The 25259-nt window shown below is 46.0% G+C and overlaps 1 protein-coding gene and 1 long non-coding RNA gene across 7 annotated transcripts in view, besides 5 other annotated features; one reads left to right on the top strand and one right to left on the bottom strand.

The window, feature by feature from the left end:
- The window catches only part of PLEKHA2 (pleckstrin homology domain containing A2), a 72567-nt gene extending 66791 nt beyond the window's left edge, over window positions 1-5776 (bottom strand). For 3 of the 6 annotated variants that reach the window (XM_011544605.4, XM_024447227.2, NM_001410925.1), the window contains exon 1: window positions 5230-5358. The gene's annotated coding sequence lies outside the window, so the exon portion shown is untranslated. Of the gene's footprint in view, window positions 1-5052; window positions 5359-5676 lie in introns of those variants that run through there. The other 3 variants (NM_021623.2, XM_047422067.1, XM_011544607.4) reach the window with 3 other exon arrangements.
- Window positions 1463-1722: an enhancer, noted in NCBI's record as "active region_27267". NCBI's record gives its function as "activates an Ori minimal core promoter by ATAC-STARR-seq in GM12878 lymphoblastoid cells {active_cell/tissue: GM12878}" and the evidence as "EXISTENCE:reporter gene assay evidence [ECO:0000049][PMID:35858748]".
- Window positions 5105-5774: a silencer, noted in NCBI's record as "silent region_19138". NCBI's record gives its function as "represses an Ori minimal core promoter by ATAC-STARR-seq in GM12878 lymphoblastoid cells {active_cell/tissue: GM12878}" and the evidence as "EXISTENCE:reporter gene assay evidence [ECO:0000049][PMID:35858748]".
- On the top strand, window positions 5677-7872 carry LOC124901937 (uncharacterized). Its single transcript, XR_007060893.1, has 2 exons — window positions 5677-5909; window positions 6426-7872. It is a non-coding gene; the product is annotated as an uncharacterized LOC124901937 (long non-coding RNA).
- Window positions 5855-6264: a silencer, noted in NCBI's record as "silent region_19137". NCBI's record gives its function as "represses an Ori minimal core promoter by ATAC-STARR-seq in GM12878 lymphoblastoid cells {active_cell/tissue: GM12878}" and the evidence as "EXISTENCE:reporter gene assay evidence [ECO:0000049][PMID:35858748]".
- Window positions 6865-7114: an enhancer, noted in NCBI's record as "active region_27266". NCBI's record gives its function as "activates an Ori minimal core promoter by ATAC-STARR-seq in GM12878 lymphoblastoid cells {active_cell/tissue: GM12878}" and the evidence as "EXISTENCE:reporter gene assay evidence [ECO:0000049][PMID:35858748]".
- Window positions 7175-7364: an enhancer, noted in NCBI's record as "active region_27265". NCBI's record gives its function as "activates an Ori minimal core promoter by ATAC-STARR-seq in GM12878 lymphoblastoid cells {active_cell/tissue: GM12878}" and the evidence as "EXISTENCE:reporter gene assay evidence [ECO:0000049][PMID:35858748]".
- Window positions 7873-25259: the final 17387 nt, after the last annotated feature.

Below are 25259 nucleotides of genomic sequence, written 5' to 3'. Positions count from 1 at the left end.
GTGGGGCGTGTGGTACGTACATCTTCTGTCCTGTTACCCCTACCAGGGCAGAAGCTGCAGGCAGCAGCTTCAGTAGTGACTGAGGTTCTACCAACCAGAAATGGCTCAACTGGGTAACAGGAGAAAGTTTTTTGGGAAATAACATCAGAGATCTCAAAGAGGACTGTATGAAATACAGCAGACAGGAACTGAGGTATAGAGATATGGAGCAGTCACTCACCTGTTGCTAGAATACATACGGACCATGTCAACAGAGTTCATATATGTTCAGATTTGCAGCATACATCAAGATATATTGTGAAGCCAACCAGAGCCTTCGCAATGTACAAACCCAGTAAAAACAACAGCAAAATGCAAGCATGGCTATTTGAGAACACATCCCTGAGAATGGGTCAAAGATTATAACTTAGGAAGTGTGGAAGCCTCCACTTCCTACTGCTCTAACATGGCCGCATTTTGAAACTGTCATGATAGCAGATTCCAAATAGTGTAAGGCGGGAGAATAAAGTGCGAGAGAAGGGAACGTACTGAGAACAAGTTCCCAGAGGAAGTGCAGGGTGAGGAATGCAAACATGTACAGGAATGGCGGGGGGCGGATCAGACAGGGTGCTGGCTTGACCCTGAGATAGCCCAATCCCCACTGGACCCTAGAACTTGGAGTAGAGAGCAAGAGATACTCAAGAAGGAATTTTTGAAAAAATATGGGGGGAGGGGTGTAAGGCAGGAGTAACTGGAAATTGATACCACTGCAATAAAGATGCCAAAAACAACAAAATATTTCAGACACTCATGACCTCTCTTCACAGCAGCCTCATCTACATTCAAAGAAAATGTGGTTGTTGGAGCCTGCAGGAAACAAAAGCCTGCCCGGGGCTGAAGGCTCATCAGACCATCTCCACCAGAGAGGGCACCAGTGCAGGCACGCAGCCATACTGGCTTTACAGCCTATAAAAGCTGAGATCTCCAACTTTCAGAATTGTGAAAGTTTCCCCACAATGAATTCGGTTTCACTATTGGGCTTCCTAACAACAGCTGCGAGTCCTGGAACTCTAATCTTCATTTTATAATGGACGATGTCAACCAAAGGGTACTAATACATGGGCAGTTAAGAGAATGAAAAGAAAACACCATTTCTCCTGGCCGGGCACAGTGGCTCACGCCTGAAATCCCAGCACTTTGGGAGTCCAAGGTGGGTGGATCACGAGGTCAGGAGATGGAGACCATCCTGGCTAACACAGTGAAACCCTGTCTCTGCTAAAAATACAAAAAATTAGCTGGGCGTGGTGGCATGCGCCTGTAGACCCAGCTACTTGGGAGGCTGAAGCAGGAAAATTGCTTGAACCTGTGAGGTGGAGGTTGCAGTGAGCCGAGATAGCGCCACTGCACTCCAGCATGGGCGACAGGGCGAGACTCTGTCTCAAAAAAAAAAAAAAAAAGCAAAAACACAAAAAACATAATTTCTCCAACCTACTGGCCTTTTGCTAAGTGCTGGGGGTGGGGCAGGGGAGTGGTGAGGGGGGAGCGTAAATGGCCTAGCTCTGTTCCTCTAAAGACATGTGCTTCTGTCTCTTGATTTAGGGAAGGAGGAGGGGCTGGGTGTGGTAAGGAGGATGTGCAGGTGACAATAATCAGTATGAGTATTTAAAAAAAATTTTTTTTTTTTAGAGGCAGGGTCTCGCTCTGGTGCCCAGGCTGGAGTGCAGTGGTGCGATCACAGCTCACTATAACCTCAAACTCCTGAGTTCAAAAAATCCTCCTGCTATAGCCTCCCGAGTAGCTGGGACTACAGGCGCACACTACTACAGCTAGCTAATTTTTCAATTTTTTGTAGAGATGGGGTCTCGCTATGTTCCCCAGGCTGGTCTTAAACTCTTAGCCTCAAGTGATCCCCCCCACCTCAGCCTCCCAAAGCCCTGGGATTACAGAGATGAGCCACGGCATCCAGCCAATATGAGTATTTTTGAGGGAACTTTTGCAAGAAGATGACCATTCAAAAGGGTGTGCTGATTTCAGTTACCCATCCCATCCATGCAGTGGAGTGAAGGGAAAGAGCATGAGTCTTGAGCCAGACAGACCTGGATTCAAACGCAGAAAAGTTGCTTAAGTCTTCAGGGTCTATTTCCTAATCTGCAAAATGGAGATAATTGCTTTACCTACTTCAAAGGCTGCTGTGAGGATTAAATGAAATAATGTGTGAAAAGTGCTGGACACCCAGACATTGGGTAAATATTGTTGTTGTTAAACTGCATGTGTGGGTGCCTAACAAGGAGTACATGGTCATCATTACTACTGCAAAGTTGCTTAACACTGGGCAGGCAGCTGCTGCATGCGCACCTCCATCCCTCTAACTCCAGTGAGCAAATGTCAATGAAAAAGCTGCGACTCTGGGATTCCTCTCACGAGGAAAGGCATCAGCTTCCCTCACTCTTCCCTCTACTCCAAGAAACACCACATTTTACATCTCTAAAAATTCTCCAGGAGGTTTAAAACAAAAAGTCCAGGCAATGTGCTGACTCCTTCTTGGCCAGGCTACCCTGAGAGTTAACAGAAACCTAGACATGCTCGTCAGTTTCCAAGGCAAGCTGCCTCTTGATCCAGCCATGGGCAATCATACCAGCAGAGAGCTGCTTTGCAAGGGGCCAGCCAAATTTGAGTCCCAGCCTTCGCACTTTAACTGCAGTGCTTCTCAAGAGCATAAGGACAAGAGGACCCAGCTTCCCATCCTCTTCATCTCAGCTGACCAGGCACTGTGGGCAAAAGGCACACCACAGGGCCAAAGCCCCCAAGCCTTTTGCCCACACTGGGCAATATCAGGAGCCCCTGCCCCAGCAGGGCTGGGACCTCCACAGTGAGAAAGCCCAATTCCGGCTTTAATGCATAACAAATCACTTCAGTCAACTGGGGTCAGGGCAGGGAAGGGGCTTTCAGAAGGAACAGTAGGGTCTCACTACACCAACCCCCGGCCTCCTCTACTGACAGGATGGGGCCGCATCCCTCCCACCTCTCAGCTGCCCTATCTCCCCCGCCTGTCCAATACCCCATCTCAATAATGGGCTCATATCAGGCAGGGCCAGGGTTCTTCTCTTCCCATAGGCCAACACACTATAATATTTGCTTTCCTTCCTTCCTTTCCAAAGCCTACCAGATTAGATTGCTGGAGTCCCATCCAGCTCACTGAGACAGATGGAAAACGGAAAGTAAGGCAACCCAAACTGTTCATGGTGGAAAAAGAGAGGGGGCAGAGCAACCCAACGTCCCAGCACCCAGATCCTCTTTTCCAAGCCCTAGGTCTATCACAACCGGAATAAGTCGAGCCACAGCAGTTTCCGTGAATCAGAAGAGATATTCTGATGCACTGTGGTCTGCAGCAAGCTCTCATCTGAGTCATCCAGCCTTTCAGCAGGGGCATCACCCACCTGTCCATCTGTCCCATGAATTGGACAGGAGACCAACGCTGCTTGGGTCTTCCTAGTATCCTAGCACTTCGGCAAACACTTGGCAAGGTAGTGGGAGGGCTGCTCTGGGGCTCAGCTGATAGGGCTCATCAGCCTTCCCCTTCCCACTTCTGCAGAACAAAAACCTGCACCAACCAAAACCTGCATGTCTTCAAGATTTATTTTAACCACTCAAAAATACCGAGCTGAATATGGTTCAGCTCACTACCATGACATGATGGGATCTGCAGGCCCTATTTCCTTAACACAGAAGAGAGAAGAAAGCACCAATGACAAGGAAAAAGAAAGGGTTGCAAAAACTCTTCACCAAAGGGCAGGCAGTTTCTCAATCAATACCAAGGTAATTACCAATCTGTGAAATGAGCAAGGCTCCCATTACCAGCTAGCTAAAACCCCACTAGGAGTGCCATAGACAATTTGTAGAAAGCATGCTGTAATGTACAAACAGGGTCAAAGGATACTTAGGTGTAAAGGCAACATCCGGACTAATAACTCCCATGTACCAGCTTGGAGAACCAAATCCCTACAGGTTTGAGGAACAACCACACTGCTCTTTTCTCTGCCATTTGGACAAGTGCAAACAATTCATGTGTTTGCATTCATTCATTAATGCAATAAACATTTACTTAGCACCTGGTACATGTCATACGTTGGGCTGGCCATAATCTAGACTACAAGCTAGACCTCTGATAGTGCAAAAGTCATCTGCCTTCAGGCGGCACATGGTGAAGAGGGCTAATGTCTGAGATGATGATGATGCTTTCTAAAAGCTTACTCTGGCTTCTCAAAACAAGTGGGGGGCTTACAAGTCCTGTAAGCTCGCCAAAGACAGGGTCCAGCCCTCCAGAGGTAAAGGAAAAAGAAAAAATAAAGACAGGGGTTGTGTTTTGTTCATCACTGCCTTGCATGTATAATACATGTCAACTGAATGCAACTGAAATAGAAAGCAAAAACTTCTATTCTTTCAAGATCTTTTGCTTTGCTGTTTCGGAAGGCTTCGCAACCAAAGAAAAAAAATGACAAAAGAAGGGAAAATGGGACTTGGTCAGATAGATTAAGAACACCATTAGTGCAATCTTGGGACTTCAGCCCCAAGTGCATCTACAGCTCAGCCTTCAGAGCCCCCAGAGCCACAGCTGGCTTTCTGGTGGGGTGCTCTCCCCTCCCTCTTCTCTGCCGTTTACTGTCCTCTGAAAACCCCACTTGGAGCCCTAAAGAAAGAAAGGGGGCGGGCAGGAAGAAGGAATGAGAAGGGGAAGATACATCCTGAACCTGCGTTCACCAAGAAGGAAGGAAGCCAAACCCTAAGGCTAGGGCCTGGGGGCAGGGCTGGCCCCGGGGAGGAGATGTGAGGGTGCTCCGGCCGCAGCGGGCCCTGCGCCCCTCTCTGGGCGTGCAGGGACACTTTTCCCTTCTAAACGGCCTAGCTTCCCACCACCCCCCCCCACACCCTTCTTTTCTCTTTCTTTTTAAAAAAATTTTGGTGAAATCGTCTTTAGGACTGGAGGAGAAAAGGGAAGCGTGTAAGGTGAGGAAGAAGTTGGTGAGAGAGAGAACGACAGCTCCCCTCGAGGGCTCACCCAACCTGGCACCGAACCTGCATTTTAGGGCAGTCCTTTTCACTGTCTGGAGTTCCAGAAGCCCGAAGTCCAGGCTGCACCCAGAGGAAAGGACAGGAGTCCCTAGGGGAGCCTTCTAGGCCTGTCATTTAATAAGGTAGTCGGGGGAGTGAAAGAGGAGTCTCCATGGCCCAATCCGTACCCAAGGGACTTGCCTGGGGACGTTCTCTGCTCTCCTCCCCTCCCGCAGCCCGGGCAGTCGTTGCGGGGTCGGTGCCCCAGCGCCAGAACCCGCAGAGAAGTTTCGCTGCTGCAAACGTGAGAAAATGCAGCTCAGCAGAACTCCCGCCCCCACCCTCTCCGCGGCCCCACCCCCCGCAGCCCGACCCCTGGCGGCGGCGACCTTGGCCACCCGGGGCACTTGGAGGAGGGGCTGCCCTCGGGGCTCTCCCAGAGGGTTGGAGGAGGCCTCCAGGGTCTGCGGCCACCTCCCCTCGCCTGTCAGCCACTAGGACCGGCGTATTCAGCCCTGCGCGCGCGCCCCTCGCGCCCCTAGGCCGCCAGGCCTCCGCCGGGGCGCCCCCTGCACCCCCAGCCCCGCCAGCCCCCGCGCGCCCCTCTGCGCCTCTCCACTCCCGAGCCCGCGAGGGCGCCCAACTTACCCCCCCGTGCAGGGGCCGGGGCTCGGGCGGGGCGCGTTACATCGGGCGGGGTCGCCCCTCCGGCCGCCGGGTCCGCCGCGCTCCAGGGATTTCTGGGTCTGCCTGCCAAACTCTCCGCGCCTCTCGCTCCCCTCGCTCTGGTCTCCCCCAGTGCCCCCTCCTTCTCTCCCGTCCCTCGGCTCTTTTTTCCGGGTTAATTACGTTTCGCATTAAAGCAAAACCCAGCCCCGGATGTGAGTACAATGCTCCGCGGAGCCCGCCGGGGAGGGAGAGGGGTGCCGGGGCGCCGCGGGCTGGGAGGGGGTGCGGCCGGGCGCCGGGGCCGCGCGGGGGAGGCGGGGGCGGGGCGCCCGGAGGCTGCGCCCGAGGCCGCCCGCGTTCCGCGCCTGGCAGGTGGGACCTGCGCGCCGAGACTGCCCCGCGGGGAGGCCCGGCCCCGACGCTCGCTCGGGCAGCAGGTGTCCGGGCAGGGGGCGTCCTCGCAGGAGGAGGCGAGCTGGAGCGCGAGCTCCCTCAAGAACCCCATTTCCTCCTCCCAGAGCCCCACCCAGCGACCTCAGCTGGGCCTCCTTCGGATCCCGAGCCCTTAGCCTTTGGGGACCGAGGAGTTGGGGTAAGGGTTAGGGTCCCAAGAAGAGTGGCTTCTTCAGGTTGTCCTAAATGTGCCCTAAGAGACCAGTGGGCGGGAACGCTCTAACCAGGGTTATAAGGACTTTAATTTCTTTATTTTATTTTATTTTTTAATCAAGACAGGGTCTGGCTCTGTCGCCCAGGCTGGAGTGCGGTGGCGCAGTCATAGCTCACTGCAGCCTCGACCTCCTGGGTCCAGCGATCCTTCTGCCCCAGCCTCCCGAGTAGCTGGGACCACAGGCGCCTACACCGTGCCCGTTGGGACTTTTTCGGTGTGATGCGAAGACTCCCTTCCTGCCCCCAGAGCATGAGGGTGCTCTGGGAAAAAATGGGAAACAGACAAGCATGTGTTACTACGTAAACCTCGCCAAGAGGAACTAAGAGAGCTGCTGTGCGCGGGTCCCGCCCCTGCGCTATCTCATTTGATCCACGCCGCAACCTATGGGTACCAGTCCGGTTCACGGTGAGGAAACCGAGACTCAGACTTGTGAAGTAATTTGCCCTGGGTACCCAGTTAGTAAACGGCAGGTCTGTCAGGTTCTGACTCCGGCCTCCCACGTCGGGAGAGAGACATTTGAATATGCATCAAGTCAGGTGGACAACATCCGAAACATGAAAATGTAGAAGATTCGCGCGGGCCTGCGGGGCCGTGCGCCGGTGTCTGGCGATCCTAATGCAAACGTTGTTAATCAGGTGTAAATCCTACGAGGCTTTGAAAGAGGCAGGCATAAGAAGACGCTGAGGTTCTCCAGGACAAGGACTGGATTTGCAGGAAGGAGGGAGAGGCTGGGGCACATTCCCGGTGTTAACAGAGGAAAGGCGGCCTCTTATGTCTCCACGACCGACCGGAGGCCACAAGGCCTGGGGAGGGGGGCTCGGGCCGATGAGCCAGGACCGAGGGAGAAGGACAGCCCGCCCCACACACCCCGAAAGCACCAGTGATGAAACCACACAAGTTTCCTCTTCCATTTTGATTGCCAAAGCAAAAATGAACACCGCCGGTGTCTCAGGTGTGAAAAAAGACTGTTTGCTTTAGAGCATTTTGCTTTCAATGAGGAAGAAAAGGGGGACGATGGGCAAAACACACACACACACACACACACACACACACACACACACACACACACACATTTCCCTTGAAATAAATACATCAATGTCTTTTTTTTCCCCGTTCATGGAGGGTTTTGCCACTCATCTGTAAGTTTCAGGCACCAGAACAAACTGAAGAGCATCTCCTCTGGAAGCAAGGAACCTGGATTTGAAGCCCAGCTCTGCCGTTTACTGGCTTTGACCCCTGGGCAAGTTACTTAACTTCTCAATGCCTCTGTTAGGAAAAGTCAGTGAGTTAACATTTGTGAAGTGTTGAGATTCCTGTCGAACGTGAAGTAGGTGCTACGTAAATGTTTTTTAAATTTAAAAATTAGATGATCATTTTCAGTATGAAAAGCAACACAATTCCATCCAGCTCCAAGCAAATCCGACTGGAACTGAGGGTTTCCAGCATGAGCAATGAGGTAAATTTCTCAGATTTCAGGGTATGGTTCATATTAAACTCATAAAACTCTACTCCCCGTGGGGCTGCCTGAGTCACTCCATCACAGAGCCACAAGTATTTCCTGAGCACTACTGTTTTGGATGCTGGGAGGCAAAGAGAAGCAGAAGGCCTTGGGTGGCAAGAGAATACAGGTGTCTCTAGAAGGCTGAAGCAGGCTTGTGCCCTGGGAATGGCACAGAGAGTAAGTGCTGTCAACTTTTAGAAGGACAAGATATAGCCAGGGGCAGTGGCTCACGACCTGTAATCCCAGCACTTTGGAAAACCAAGGCAGGAGGATCCCTTGAGTCCAGGAGTTCAAGACCAGCCTGGACAACTAGGGAAACTTCATCTCTACAAAAAATAAAAAATATTAAATTAGCCAGGTATGCACCTGTGGTCCCAGCTACTCTAAAGGTTGAAATGGGAGGGTCACTTGAACCCAGGATTTTGAGGCTGCAGTGAGCCATTATCATGCCACTGCATTCCAACCTGAGTGACAGAGTGAGAACCTGTCTCAGAAAAAAAATAAATAAAAAAGAGGGAAATGTGTCTCTGAATGGGGGATGGGGGGTGGGGGGGGACGGTGGGGGAGCTCAAGAAGGGAGTGGGCTTTGAAATGGGACTTAGATGGATACAGTTTGACACCAGTGGGAGGAGGCCAGGAACATGTTGGGCTGAGGGAAGGTCATCATCAGTGCACTCGGGGAGATGCTCATACTTCACTGGAGCCCCATTTACTGCTACACTTGTCCCTGGCCAGGACCTGGCCCCAGTTAGATGACAAATCCTGCACTAATGTCCACTCTCTTATTCCTGGATCTCCCAGGGCTTCCTCAGAGGGACCCCCACCCCCACCCTCCTCTCATGTCACCTTGAAGCAGGCGTCAAGTGAGTCTGTGCCCTGCTATGTTTTGCCATCCCTTTCTCTCTTTTTGGGGGGACACTTTTTTATTGTGATAAAGTATACATGACATAAATTTTACCATTTTAAAGTGTATATGTAGTGGCATTCGGTAAATTCACAATGTTGTACAACTCTCACCACTGTCTAGTTCCAACCGATTTTCATGGCTTCTAAAGTTGACGCCATACCTATTAAGCAGTCACCTCCCATTCTTCTCTTCTCCCAGCCCCTGGTCACCACTAACTTGCTTTCCATCCAGTCTACAGATTTGCCTATTTTTGATACTTCATATAAGTGGAATCATATATATGTGGCCTTCTGTGTCTAGCTGCTGTTGCTGCTTTTTTTTTTTTTTTTTTTTTTGAGACAGAGTCTCACTCTATTGCCCAAGCTAGAGTGCAGCAGCATGATCTTGGCTCACTGCAACCTCCGCCTCCCAGGTTCAAGCGATTCTCCTGCCTCAGCCTCCCGAGTAGCTAGGATTACAGGCCTGCGCCACCACACCCGGCTAATTTTTGTATTTTTAGTAGAGACAGAGTCTCACCACGTTGGCCAGGCTGGTATCGAACTCCTGACCTCAAGTGATCCATCCGCCTCCGCCTCCCAAAGTGCTGGGATTACAGGCGTGAGCCACCGCACCTGGCTGTGTCTAGCTTCTTATGTTTACTTTTGCCATCACTTCATTGACACATTTTGAAAGTACAGTATTGCTGTTGCCTAATTTTATACTTTAATTTTGTTCAGTGCAATAAACAGCCCTGATGTCTGAGAATGTGACTGTACCTGTGGGGAAAGGAATGTCAAAAAAGGACGTTTCATGTGAGCTATTTCAGCCCCCTTGTTGTACCAAGGTAAAATAAAGCTCAACAATTTGCTCAAGGTTTTGAAGCTATAATAGTTAGTGGCAGAGTTGGTTCTAGAACCCAGAGTTGACTACCTTAGAATCTTCTAGTATTGGTATAGAAACCTTGCCACCAAGATGAAAACTTCTGGCCTAGAACCTAAGAATCTCAACAGAAAACCTTATGCACTACTCTAAGCATTTATTTATGTACTTTCTATTCATTTTCAATGTTAATGGCTGGTTAGCTAGATAACCTAACAACCTCCAGTGGTGAGCCAGTGTACCCTGCAGGGAACTATTGTTCTGTCCTCATAGATACCCATTACATAAGGCTGCAGCTGGGGCCAGTTAGTTCTATTAGGGAAAGTGTGGGGCCAAAGAGGCCAAGGTCATTGGTTTGATTCTGGCTCAGGCCAGTTCATTTTGCACAGAGATGGATTGCTCCAGGGCTATACACTGCACCTCTAATGTTAGCCAGTCATTTTATAAATAGTTGCTATGGGTTTTGATAGCAAAGTATGAATAGTTCTGTACCATCCATTTCTAGAATGATTGCTCAAACTGCCATTGTTTTATTCAGTCCAATTCATTCAACAAACAATTATCTGAACCCATTACCATTTTTCCTTCTGTATGTCTTGCATTTACTTGTTTTCCAGGTACTTACTAATTGCTAATTGTTATGCATGTATTATCTCATTTAAGCTTTATAATGACAATGACCCTGCCATTATTTTATGGTGATGAGATGGCTAAGGCATACAGATAAAGCCCTGATACAAACCTGGACAGCCAGAGGCCAGAGCCTGGTCTTTTACCTACCAAGCTACACTGGTAGATGCAATGTTAGGCCTTGTGAAGGATGCAGAAAAGCATAAAACAAGACTCTTCCTTCCCACCGCTGACACTTCCTATATTTATCATCATTTAGAATCTCCATTCCATTTCACCTAGCAATTGCCTATCCAAAGAAAGTTATATGGATATATAGATAGCAATACATGCACACACATATGTATTTATATTCACTGCAGCATTGGTCATAATGGTAAAAATTGGAAATCACTTTCATGCGCATCAAGAAGGGATTGAACAGGTGCATCACTACAATCTTATGCTATGCTGCACTTAGAAAAGAATGAGGGCTGGGTGGGGTGGCTCATGCCTATAATTCCAGCAGTTTGAAAGGTCAAAGCAGGAGAATCACTTGAGCCCAGGAGTTCCAGACTAACATGGTCAACATGGCGAGATCTGTCTCTGGGAACGATTTTTAAAAATTAGCTGGACATGGTGGTGCACACCTGTAGCCCCAGCTACTCAGGAGGCTGAGGCAAGAGGATCACTTGAGCCCAGGAGTTCAAGGTTGCAGTGAACTATGATTCCATCACTACACTCCAGCCTGGGCAACAGAACCAGACGCTGTCTCAAAAAAAAAAAAAAAAAAAAAAAGAATGAGGTAGATATCTATATGAAAAATACTATACATTTTAAGTGAAAAAAGTACAGAGCTTTACATGTAGTATAATTCCATTTCTGTAAATAATTTTTTGCATGAAAAAGCTCTATAAGAATACATTCCAAACTGTTAACCACAGTTCTCTTAGGGCAGGGGTAGAGGGGTGATAATGGTGGATTTCACTTTCTAAGAGATGTATTCTGTGAGGGTTCTTTTTTTGCAACAAGCATGCATGCATTTGGTTTTTTTTTTAAAAAAAGAACAGGAATGGCTTAAATTTTTAATAAAATTTAAAAGTTCCATGAGGAAGAAAATAATATTGCAGCCTTCGAGGAGCTCATCTCTTACTAAGGAGGGAACATAGTATGTACAGAAACTGATACATGCAGAGGAGAGCAGAGATAAAATTCCCCGGGAAGATTATCAACCAGCTGTGGTTGAGAAGGGCAGGGGAAAATGCATGAAGGACATGGCCCCTTGCAAGGACCTTGAAAGAAAGGTTAAAATGTAGAAAAGTGAAGAGGAGGTGAGAATAGGTGGATTCCAGATACAGAGATGATCAGAGGCAAAGCACAGAGCAGGACCACATGGGATCTATTCAGGGAAGTGTGGCTGGTACAGTTGAGCTGGAGCACGGGAGGACATAGGAAGGATTTTCATGGGGAATGAAACAGGAAAGAAAGGTAGCTGGAGTGTCTTTATTGCTAAGCTAAGGAGTCTGTACTTATTATTAGGCTTCAAGAGCCACTGAAGGCTTTTGAGCAAGGAAGGGACACAGTTGGAAGTTAACTGGCTGTGATTTCGTAGTTACTGGCTGCCTAGTAACTAGACTCTGGCACCCAGCTACCTAGTTTTGACTCCTGACTCTGTCACTAATTAGCTGAATAGCCAGGGACCAGTGACTTCTCTGTGCTTCTATAAAATGGGGAAGGTGGTGATGACAGATAACTGTCTCATACCATGGCATTTGGGATTGAGTGAATTCATGCTTTTAGGAAACATGGTTAAGTGCTGACAATGCTAAATTTGAAAAATCAGTGTCATACCTTTGGATTTAAATCCTCGTATTTCATTTGAAACTTTTATCCCAAAGAGCTAACACTTCATGATAAATTATTAACTATTCTTTTTCCCCCACTCTCAGGGAATTAGAGATTTTTCATCTCATTTTACAGATGGAAGAATTTAGGTTTTAAGAGAGCAATAGCATCTCAGAATCACACAGCCAGTCATGATCTGAATCCCTGGGTTCTGAATGGTAGTTCAGTGACCTTTGCCCAATACTTAAGGTTGTCTCTTAGCTCAAATTCTCAGAGCCTTGAGAGTAGGAAAATGGGGAGTGGAAGAAGCTTAGGAAATTTCTGTTTATAGAGTAAGAGGAACAGCAGTAAAGGACAGTAATAAGGTAAAATCAAAAAAGAGAAAACTCTGGTGGAACATCTGGAAGTTTATAAAATCAGACTTGTAAAATATAAACAGGAGATATACATATAAATATATATACATACACACATATACATACATACTTACTGGTGCTAAAGTTATTTCCTAGTAAAAAAGTTTGGAAAGCATTGTTGTACTGCTAAGTCTAACACTAATAGTGTCATTTCTCAGCCTCAGAAATGAGTGTGCGTGCCGTCCCCAGAAATAACAGTCTCCTGGCCAAGAGCACCATTCCTATTGATTCATGCTGATGGCATTGTTTTCCCATCAGTTTGAATAAGTGTAGTGCACCACTCGGAATTCTGCATCCTCAGTGATGCCCTGCAATTAGAGGGAAGAACTGGGACTTCCCAGTTCAGAGTGAGAGAATGAATAGGTACTTAACTTTGGATCTATGACCATGTTTTAGCACTGTTTGACTTTATTTTTGCTTAGACTAGTTAAATAATTCACTATAGACTAGTTAAATAATTCACTACTTCAGTACTGAGGCCACACAGGGGCTACTCTTAGTAAATACTTGTGGGTGAATATAGTCAAAGTTATTAGCAAGAATAAACTCTAGCCAGTTTATTCCAAGAGATGCCTATGGTAGTCAGTGAAGTGGGTTGACTTTTACATCAGTGATTCCCAATACAAGCTGATTATTATAAACCATAGAAAACAAAGAAAAGCAAAAAGGATATTTGGACACGTAGACTTATGTCCTTTTATTATTTTGTTAATAGGCAATATATATACACAGTACAAAGTTCAAAAGAATTAAATATTCCTTTTCCCCCACTCTCAGGGAATTAGAGATTTTTCATCTCACTTTACAGATGGAAAATTTAGGTTTTAAGGAGAACAATAGCATCTCAGAATCACACAGTAGAAAAGAATGAAGTCGATGCTTCCCTGCTTGACTTCTAAATTCTTGTGTTCTCACATACAAAGGAGTTACCAATTATTTTTTAAAAGTACAAAATAATGGGCTGGGCGTGGTGGCTCACGCCTGTAATCCCAGCAGATTGGGAGGCCAAGGTGGGCGGATCACGAGGTCAGGAGTTCGAGACCAGCCTGGCCAACATGGTGAAATCTCATCTCTATTAAAGATACAAAAAATTAGCCAGGCGTGGTGGCAGGCGCCTGTAATCCCAGCTACTTGGGAGGCTGAGGCAGGAGAATCGCTTGAACCTGGAAGGCAGAGGTTGCATTGAGCCGAGATGGCGCCATTGCACTCCAGCCTGGGTGACAGGGCGAGACTCCATCTCAAAAAAAAAAAAAAAAAGTACAAAATAACAACATTGAAAAGCAGTATTTCTTCTACCCATGTTCTCAAACACACTGTTATTCTTACCAGAGATAATCAATGTGTGTGTGTGTGTGTGTGTCTGTGTATGTGTGTGTTTAATACTAAATATTCAGTTTTGCAAGAATATACCTAAAAACGATAACAGTAATTACCCTAGTGGTGGACTTATAGGTGATTTTTAAAATCTTCTGTTTTTCTGGGTTTTCTAAGTTTTCTTTAATATGCATGTATTATTTTATGATTCAAGAAAAAAAAGTTTTACAAATAAATAGTTCTTACCATGAAAGTACTTCAGCTATCTCACAGATGTTTTGTGATTTAAAAACAATATAGAACTGGCCAGGCGCAGTGGCTCAGGCTGAGGTTGGTAGATCATGAGGTCAGGAGTTCAAGACCAGCCTGGCTAAGATGGTGAAACCCCATCTCTACTAAAAATACAAAAAATTAGCCAGGTGTGGTGGCAGGCACCTCTAATCCCAGCTACTCAGGAGGCTGAGGCAGATAATTGCTTGAACCCAGGAGGTGAAGTTTGCAGTGAGCCCAGATCATGCTACTGCACTCCAGTCTGGGCGACAGAGCAAGACTCTGTCTCAAAACAAGAAAATAAATAAATAAAAATAAATAAAAATAAAAATAAATAAAAACAACACAGAACTAACTTCATCCTCAAAAAATACTTGAAAATACTTGCCATGTCTGGGCATGCTGGCCCACACCTGTAACCCCAACACTTTGGGAGGCCAAGGTAAGCAATTGCTTGATCCCAAGAGTTCGAGATCAGCCTGGGCAACATAGTAAAACTCTGTCTCTACTAAAAATACATGGTGCCAGGCATGGCACCATGAGCATGTAGTCCTAGCTACCTGGGAGGCTGAGGTAGGAGGATCATTTGAGCTCAGGAGGTTGAGGCTACAGTAAGTGATGACTGTGCTACTGCACTCCCGCCTAGCCTGGAGGACCATAGAGAGGCCCTCTCTCAAAAAAAGAAAGAAAGAAAATGCCAGTCTGTGGATATATTTTTCAAAAAATTTTGGCCAGTTTTGTGTCCATTCACATTAAAACTCCTGCTACTGGAAAAGAGATGCAAAACGTAGTTAGCAGCTTGAACTCTGAGTCCTAGTGAATCAGCATGAGTCACTGGAGATAGGTAAGTTGCTCAGGAATCTTCTTTCAAATTTCATCATAATTTGTATGATGACTCCACATGTCCTTCAAACTACATTAAAATTAAGTGTAGCACCAGACTGGAGAATTAAGGCCAGTCCAGTTTAACTCCTTCATTTAGCAATTAAACTATCACAAACTAAATTTATCCTTACACCTAATACTTAATGATGCTGTGGGTGTTTTAATTGCCTGAATGACCAAATGCACCCTTCAGTGTCTGAAGTTGTCATAGTTCCAGCTCCCTAAGAAGATATAGGAACATGGTCACCTTTCTGGCAACTTCAGTTTCTGGAACAGAACTCTGAACTCATAAGGTGAGAAGAGAAGGGCCTCTGAGTTGCTAGCCAAAGTTCTGGGAGCCTTTCTTAGGTTTGATTATTGATTCCAATTGCATATCTAATTTCAGAAACCCTGGGAGTATGGTTTCCTAGCCCTCAGCATATCAGAAATCTCAGGAGAATGGAAGAACCACTGGAGAAGTGGGTGAGAGGGTGTGGAGGAGTGCATGGGTTTTGTTTTGTTTTGTTTTGTTTTTTTGAGACGGAGTCTCACTGTGTCACCCAGGCTGGAGTACAATGGCGTGATCTCAGCTCACTGCAACCTATGCCTCCTGGGTTCAAACGATTTTCCTGCCTCAGCTTCCTGAATAGCTGGGACTACAGGCGTGCGCCACCACACCAGGCTAATTTTTGTATTTTTAGTAAAGACGGGGTTTCACCATGTTGGTCAGGCTGGTCTTGAACTCCTGACCTCGTGATCCGCCTGCCTTGGCCTCTCAAAGTGCTGGGATTACAGGCGTGAGCCACCACACCAGCCAAGTGCATGGTTTTATCCAGTTCATTCCTATGCTCATACATGGGATTGCTGAAAAGTTAACTAGCATTCCCACAGGTTACATGTGCTCAAGACAATCTTCATCATTCCTGGGGATGATCTTGGAGTAAGATGTGGTTGAACTGTGATCAGTGCCTTTGTTTTAGGTGGAAAGTGCTACGTGGTTTTGCTAGTAGGAGGGGTGGCCTGGTGGGGGGATGGCAGTGGAGCTCACCCCTGCGGTGATAAGAGCAGCCTTAATGATTCTCTCATGCCCTTTTATATTCTTAAGATATTACATCATGTGCATTATGTATCTTTTTCTTAATAAAAAATGTTTTTAATTAATGTTCATAAGACTTTACAAATAAAAAGCCTGGAAAAAGTGTACAAATTAAAAATACTGTACCACATTGAGAAAAAACCACAATGAGATATACCTACACACATACCAGCATGGCTAAAATGAAAAAGGGTGACAGGCCAGGTGCAGTGGCTCACGCCTGTAATCTCAGCACTTTGAGAAGCTGAGGCAAGCAGATCACCGGAGTCCAGGAGTTCCAGACCAGCCTGGGCAGCATGGCAAAACCCCGTCTCTACAAAGAAAAATACAAAAATTTGCCAGACGCAGCAACATGTGCCTGTAGTCCCAGCCACCCAGGAGGCTGGGGGAGGAGGGTTGCTCCTGAGCCTCAAGCTCAGGAGTTTGAGGCTGCAGTGAACCATGATCACACCACTGCACTCCTGCCTGGGTGACAGAGCAAGATCTTATCTGTAAAATAGATAAATAAATATAAATTTAAATAAATAAAAATAAACATGCAACTATCATAGGACCCAGCAATTGCTCTTCTGGGCATTTATTCCAGAGAAATGAAGACTTATGGTATTCACACAAAAACCTATACAGGAATGCTTATAGCAGCTTTACTTATAATAGCCAAAAACTGGAATCAACCCAGATGTCTTTCTGCTGGTGAATATCAGACAAAGTTTAGTTCATCATACCATGGAATACTATTCAGCAATAAAAAGGAACAAGCTGTTGATACACACAGCCACCTGGATGAATCTTCAGAGAATCATGCCAAGCAAAAAAAGCCAAACAAAAGGTTACATACTGTATGATTCCATTTATAGAACATTTTGAAATGATAAAAGTATAGAAATGGAGAACAGATTCATGGGTGTCAAAGGTTATGAAGTGGGTATGTGCTGGGCATGGTGGTTCATGCCTTTCCCCCATTTCCTGAATGGTAGCCTCTTGTAAATCATAGTGAGATGCCACAACCAGGATTTTGACATTGAGTGAGCCAAGACACAGAACATTTCCATCAGCACAAGTAACCCTGTGTTGTTCTTTTATAGCCACATATACTTCCTTCCTTCCCATCATATCCACTTCTTTTTTTTTTTTTTTTTAGACAGAGTCTTGCTCTGTCACCCAGACTGGAGAGCAGTGGCGCGATCTCGGCTCACTGCAAGCTCCGCTTCCCTGGGTCAAGCGATTCTCCTGCCTCAGCCTCCTGAGTAGCTGGGATTACAGGCATGCGCCACCACGCCCAGCTGATTTTGTATTTTTAGTAGAGACGGGGTTTCTCCATGTTGGTCAGGCTGGTCTTGAACTCCTGACCTCAGGTGATCTGCCCTCCTCGGCCTCCCAAAGTGCTGGAATTACAGGCATGAGCCACTGCGCTTGGCCAAGAAAGAGTTTTAAAGCCAAACAATTTATTGTGAGTGTTCTGTGCTTGAATAGATGTTATCTATTTTTTTAAAAAATCACTTAAGGACAGGAGCTGTGGCTTATGCATGTAATCCCAGCACTTCAGGAGGCCGAGGCAGCCTGATCGCTTGAGTCCAGGAGTTTGAGACCAGCCTGGGCAATGTGGCAAAACCCCATCTCTACAACAAATAAAAAAAATTAGCCAAAGACAGGCGCAGTGGCTCAAGCCTATGATCTCAGCACTTTGGGAGGCCAAGGCAGCTGGATCACTTGAGGCCAGGAGTTTGAGACCAGACTGGCCAACATGGCAAAACTCCATCTCTACTAAAAATACAAAAAATTAGCCGAGTCTAGTGGTGTGCACCTGTAGTCCCAGCTACTTGGGAGGCTGAGGCAGGAGAATTCCTTGAACCCAGGAGGCAAAGGTTGCAGTGAGCCAAGATCATGCCACTGCACTTCAGCCTGGGTGACAGAGCAAGACTCCATCTCAAAAAAAAAAAAAAAAAAAAAAAAAATATATATATATATATATATATATATATATATATACACACATATATATATATCCAGATGTGATGGCGTGCACTTGTAGTCCCAGCTATTCAGAAGGCTGAGGCAGGAGAAACACCTGAGTTCAGGAGGTCAAGGCTGCAGTGAGCCATGATCGTGCCATTGCACTCCAGTCTGGGTGGCAGAGGAGGCACTATCTCAATATGTGTGTGTGTGTGTACATATATATATATAACTTATGGTGAACATATATCCCTTTTGATCCTGGATAACTGAGGCATCCCTACTTATGAACTCCACAGACTAAGCATAGTTTTGCACATTGAGGCTGGCAATCCTTAAATTGTTGGGGGCTAACATTCAGTTTTTAGCTGTGACTTAAAGAGCAGTGCTTCATTCCTCTCCCACCTCAACTGCTACAATCCCTCTCACATAGCTGCCCCCATGAGCACTTCCTCTGCTCTTTGGGCATTTGGTTGCTTCCATCCATTTTTCTACCTTCCTTAAGAAGAAAGTTTCAACACTTGGAGAAACTCCACCAGAACCTCACCTGGTATTCGAGAAAGTCTCTCTCCAGAGCAGAGCAAGGTGCATATGAAGGTTGGTTAGTTTCAATGTGTTGCCATAAATTCTGCCGTGGCTTTCCCCTGTATTCAGAAGATGACATCATGGTAGCAAGCATTACGTTCAGAAGCAAGCATTACAGCAGAAGTCTGTTAGAATGCAGCTTCTAATTATGTGTTGCTGAGTACACCATGAGTCAAATTGGGGCCTCCGAAATGTAACTGCATATTCTTTAAATAGTTCATCCAGGAGGTCTGGGGGCTGATTTATTTCTGGTTTCTCCAATTTAAGTCCTTGTACTGTACTATGATCCTGTAACTACTACCCAGTTCAGAGTAGAAGGGCAGCATAGTGCAGTACAAAGAATTTCAGACTAGGAATCCTCTGAAATTGTAGGGACAATTATGTCTACCATTTCTGTTGTTCCAGGTTGTAAAGGATTGGGAAAATGTAAGTATTACGTTGTGAACAGGAATGTTAGTAAGAGGGTGATAGAAAGCAACAGCCTTCGGCTGGGCACGGTGGCTCACACCTGCACTCCCAACACTTTGGGAGGCCAAGGCAGGCGGATCACCTGGGATCAGGAGTTTGAAACAAGCCTGGGAAACATGGTGAAACCCTGTCTCTACTAAAAAAATTAAAAAATTAGCCGGGCATGGTGGCAGATGCCTGTAATCCCAGCTACTCGGGAGGCTGAGGCAGAAGAATCGCATGAACCAAGGAGGCGGAGGTTGCAGTGGGCAGATTGCACCACTACACTCCAGTCTGGGTGACAGAGCGAGACTCCGTCTCAAAAAAAAAAAAAAAAAAAAGAAAGCAACAGCCTTCAAACTTTTCCTTACCTACAACCCCTAAAATGCTGAAATGCTATGCATCTCTTCACACACTTTAAAGTTTGACATCTATAACTTTTAATCGTAGCTTTAAGTGTTCGCAAGGGATGTATTCTGCAGTTGTTAGCATGGGATGTTTTGAAATAAAACTGTCATATCACTGTTTTTAATGTATCCAATAGAATCTAAGTACCATAGTAATATGACACTGTCACTCATTTTTGAAATTGAACAAGCGGTTCTTTGACAGCCAGAAATGTTAAATCATCCCCTTTCTTCCTTGAACTATACTTTCATTCCACTTTCTCTAAAGAATTGTATCCAAATGTCAGCTATTTTTATGCTTGAACATCTTTTATTGATTGCCCTATCATATTTTCTGAAACAAAAATGCATATGTAAATTGATTTTACAATGTTAAAAAACATCCTGTGTTCATAAGGCTCTAAGTGTTAAAATAGTTTTTGAGACTAAGTCATCATTACAATTATTAATAACAAGATAAAAATATAGTTTATTGATAGTTAAACACAAAACAGTAAAATAGCATTAGAAATCATTCTCTTAATGAGATGGATGAGATGGATTTTTAAATATATGTATGTTTATATATTTACATACATACATCTACAGTAAACAAGTATATGTAATGAGGTTAAATATTCATTAATTAATATTACTTATTGCAATAATGAGCAGGATGTAGCATCAATACTTCCCCTATTTCTTTTTCTTTTTTTTTTGAGATGGAGTCTCACTCTGTCTTCCAGGCTGGAATGCAGTGGCACAATCTCGGCTCACTGCAACCTCCGCCTCCCCGGTTCAAGCGATTCTCCTGCCTCAGCTTCCTAAGTAGTTGGGATTACAGGTGCCTGCCACCACGCCCAGCTAATTTTTGTATTTTTAGTAGAGACAAGGTTTCACCATGTTGGCCAGGCTGGCCTGGAACTCCTGGCCTCAAGTGAGGCCTGCCTCGTCCTCCCAAAGTGCTGGGATTACAGGTGTGAGCCGCCGCCCCTGGCCTTAATACTTTCCCTATTTCTCATTTTTACGAATGTAAGCTCTGAGCAGCTTTGGTCACGTTAATACGTAGATGAGGCTACAAGGACTTTTGTTATGACAATGTCCAGGGCTGAAGAGAGGCAAGAAAACTGGGACATAACCCAGAAAGGCTTATGGTTTCAAGAGGGATCCTGGAATGACTAAATCCACTTTTGCCAGGGAACCTGAGATCTGTTTTTCAGCAGGGCCGTATTTGGTAATGTCATTCAATTATGTTAGAGAGCTTCCTTCAAAAATTATTCTGTGGGGAGGCTTTTTATGTGTGGGGTTGGGGGTATAATGAGAACACTCTCTAGTTTCCACCCAATTGTGCTGTGATCCCAAAACTGCCCTACAAAATAAAGTTTTGCTTGCTTGTTTGTTTGTTTTTGAGACAGAGTCTCACTCTGTCGCCCAGGCTGGAGTGCAGTGGCGGGATCTCAGCTCACTGCAACCTCTGCCTCCCGGGTTCAAGCAATTCTCCCGTCTTGGCCTCCCAAGTAGGTGGGATTACAGGCACCCGCCACCACACCTGGCTAAGTTTTGTATTTTTGTAGAGACGGGGTTTCACCATGTTAGCCAGGCTGGTCTTGAACTCCCTGACCTCAGGTGATCCGCCCGCCTCAGCCTCCCAAAGTACTGGGATTACAGGCTTGAGCCACTGTGCCCAGCCAATAAAGTTTATTCTTAAAAAAAATTCTAATGATTGATCTGTTCGTGGACAATTCAATTAGGTTTTTCCAAATTTTATGGATAGCAATGAATTGGGAACCGCTTAACCTGTGAAAGGATTTGTATCTCAGTTAGAAAAGGCTTTCCTGTCTCAACACAAACATGGATATTTCTCACTGTCCCTTGTCTTGGCCCTGAAGGTTTTTACGACCCACGGCCATGTCGCCATGTCTTTCTTTCCGTTTTTAGAAGTGAGAGAAGGCTGTTGGGAAAGGAGAGGTGGGAAGGCAGAAGCCAGTGTGAACTGGCCTTCACTGCATCTCAGGGAGATCTAGACACTGAGTCCCTTAAAACCGTGCCCTCTGGGTACCCACTGTTTAAACACCACTGTAGAGGTGATTTAAGAACTGCCTCGGGCCGGGCGCGGTGGCTCAAGCCTGTAATCCCAGCACTTTGGAAGGCCAAGGTGGGTGGATTACCTGAGGTCAGGAGTTTGAGACCAGCCTGACCAACATTGTGAAACCCCGTCTCTACTAAAAATACAAAAGTAGCTGAGTGTGGTGGCACATGCCTGTAATCCCAGCTACTCGGGAGGCTGAGGCAGGAGAATTGCTTGAACCCGAGAGGTGGAGGTTGCAGTGAGCCGAGATCGTGCCAACAAGAGCAAGAGCGAAACTCCATCTCAAAAAAAAAAGAACTGCTTCAAATGTACAGAATCCTCATGTCAGATTTTTAGTCATTTGCTGTTTGTCCGAAAATCAAATTTAGCTGGGTGTCCAGTATCTACCTGGGAATCCTGTGCAATCCAAGTCACTCTTTTGAAGAGATGAAAGAGATGAGAAAAACTGATACCTAAAAAATGTGCAGGCCGGGCATGGTGACTCACGCCTGTAATCCCAACACTTTGGGAGGCCGAGGCAGGTGGATTGCTTGAGCTCAGGAGTTTGAAACCACCCTGGGCAACATGGTGAAAACCCGTCCCTACAAAAGATCAAAAAATTAGCTGGGCATGGTGGCTCACACCTGTAGTCCCAGCTATTTTGAGGCCTGAGGCAGGAGAATGGCATGAACCCAGGAGGCGGAGGTTGCAGTGAGCCAAGATTACACCATCGCACTCCAGCCTGGGCGACAGAGTGAGACCCTGCCTCAAAAAAATAAATAAATAAAAATAAACGAGACAGTTCTTCCACAAGGGTCTCTCCCCTTTCCCTCTGCCCAATTCTCAAATCAGTTTACTGCTTTCTCGCCTCTCACAGGGTGCTCCATTTCCATCCCACCCTGCTACCTTTTTTTCATCCTTCTTACCCAAAGCAAAATGTAAGCAGACAAAACAACAAAACTGCCAATGCTCATAAAGGGAAGAAGGCTCCTGGAGGAAACTTGGGTCAGGAAAGGGGTTTGAGAGGTGCAGAGAGAAATAGACACCTCTGTCCTGTCATCCCAGAAACAGAGGCTAAAAAAAAGAGGAGGGAGAGCAGCAGTTTCTTTACAGCGAAAACTACATTTATGTAAAATGTGTGAATATTCTCCTTTACAGTCTACCCTGTAGACACATAATAAAAGTATTCCAAGTCCAACTACATGTCTGAGGGTCCTTGGTGCTCTCCTGACCTGTTTCTTCGGAATGATACTGACCAAGCCTTCTGTTTTTTCTTCCCCCTTCAGTTCCCATTCACTGCTGCTGCCCTCTCTCACTCCCTCTCATCTCCCAAGCACCAAAAATAATTTGAATTTCAAGCCTTTTTTTGGCCTTCCTGCGGGTGTGGGAGGACGTCCTTTGGGAATTGTTCTGGTTCTAGGTGGCTCCATCTGTAATTTGGCAAAATTTCTGCACCCTACCCCCAACTTTTCTTCTTAATATAAGGGGAGTTCGAATCCCCACCTCAAAATATGGTTCTTAGGATAACCAAAGCGACAAGATCTCCCCCAGAGATCCCCCCAGGCACCCCCCGAGGGAGCCCCTGAGGGTCTGCAGCCTCCCCTTACCCCACTCCTGGTTTTGGAAGAACGACTCTTTCTGAACAACAAAGCAGCTCCTCCCTAGCCAGGGGAAGCTACCTCCAGCAACAGCTTTAAAAGGCAAGGTGATTGCGAGAAAGAGGAGGGCGAGATCTGTACTCTTCAGTTCAGGGGAGCCAAGGCAAGTTCCTGTTTCAAAGACAGTTTTAACAACTTACCAAGTTCAGTGAGTCTCTCTCTCTCTCTCTCTTTCTCTCTCTCTCTCTGTCTCTCTCTCCCTCTCTCTCCTCCACCCCACCCCCTGTGTGTGTGTGTGTGTGTGTGTGTGTGTGTGTGTGTGTGTGTGATTTTCCTTCTCACCAACTCACCCACATGATCCCTTCCATGGTCCTCTGGGTGACAGGTGATTTTCCTTTCTGAAAAAGCCTGTTGCCCATGCTGGCCTCAAACTCCTGGGAGTTTGCAGTCCTCCCTCCTGGGCTGCCCAAAGCTGTGAGATTACAGGTGGCAGCCACCTTGCCTGGCTGTTGAAATGCATCTTTATTAAAAGACAAAATATCACCAGATCTGTAGATGTAACCACCCCACCCTCAGTCCCCTCCGACACCCACCTCCGACCCATTTCCACCCCATCTCAGCCCTTCCTTAGCTAGCATCTGTAGACTCTGGCAAATGTTTGTTATTGACAAGAAAAAGGAAAGGGAAAAAAAATGAGAACAAGAAAAAGGACCGCACACCTAAGAGTTTTCTATGGTTTGGGGCAGTTTTGTTTTTCTTTTTTCTCTTTTTTTTTTTTTTTTTTTTTTTGCGATGGAGTCTCTCTGTGTTGCCCAGGCTGGAGTGCAGTGGTGTGATCTCGGCTCACTGCAAGCTCCGACTCCCAAGTTCACGCCATTCTCCTGCCTCAGCCTCCCGAGTAGCTGGGACTACAGGCGCCCGCCACCACGCCCGGCTAATGTTTTGTATTTTTAGTAGAGACGGAGTTTCACCGTGTTAGTCAGGATGGTCTCGATCTCCTGACCTCGTGATCTGCCCGCCTTGGCCTCCCAAAGTGCTGGGATTACAGGTGTGAGCTACTGCACCCGGCCTCGTTTTTCTTTCTTTTGTTTTTAAGGTTTTAAAGGTTTCTCTTTGAAAAGATGGTATCACAGAACATACAGAACTGCTCTGAAAATGCAACTTAATTTGCAAAATGCTGCATCAAAATATTACAGTCATGGAATCTAATGAATTGAGCATGCGTTCATGAAACTTAAAAAATACTGAGCAATGCATTGAAAAAAGCATGGTAAAAAAAAGACAACTCAAGTTAAATAAAAATTGCAAAGGTCCTGAACCAATTAATGGTTGGTGACAATGTCATTCAAAAATGCCTTTAGGTTTCAATGAAATCCACCATTTATTTCTGCATGCCTAGTTCTTGAAAAAACTGTTTGAAGTTGTGAGGTAGGTAATGGCCAGGAATTATCATGCTGAGTTAATTTTACACCTCAAAGGTACAAGTTTGCCATACTTAAAGCTCTTGTTAGGCCAGGCGCAGCGGCTCACTTCTAACACTTTTGGGAGGCCAAGGCAGGTGGATTACCTGAGGTCAGGAGTTCAAGACCAGCCTGGCCAACATGATGAAACTCCGTCTCTAATAAAAATACAAAAGTTAGCCGGGCATGGTGGCAGGCGCCTGTAATCCCAGCTACCTGGGAGGCTGAGGCAGGAGAATCACTTGAACCTGGGGGGCAGACATTGCAGTGAGCCGAGATCACGCCATTGCACTCCAGCCTGGGCAACAAGAGCGAAACTCCATTTCAAAACAAAACAAAACAAAACAAAAGTTCTTGTTGATTCTGGCATGAGTTGCTTTTCAGTAAAAGACAATAGTCAACTAATAAGAATGGCATGAGATAGGATATGTAACAATTTCACCGTTCATATACTCACTTTCTGTTTCCTGGTTATATTTTGATTTTTAATAAAGATACATTTCAACAGCTAGGCAAGGTAGCTCACACTTGTAATCCCACTGTTTTGTGCAGCCCCGAAGGGAGGATTGCTTGAACCCAGGAGTTTGAGGCCAACCTGGGCAATGGATCAAAACTCCTACCCTACAAAAAATTTTCAAAATTAATCAGGCATGATTCTACACCTGTAGTCCCATCTTCTTGGGAGAGTGAGGTGGAGGATCACTTGAGCCCAGGAGTT

This window comes from Homo sapiens, chromosome 8, assembly GCF_000001405.40.
Source record: "Homo sapiens chromosome 8, GRCh38.p14 Primary Assembly".
NCBI classification, from domain to species: Eukaryota; Metazoa; Chordata; class Mammalia; order Primates; family Hominidae; genus Homo; species Homo sapiens.
The sequence above is the reverse complement of the archived record's forward strand: the minus strand, read 5'-3'. Positions and strand labels throughout refer to the sequence as shown.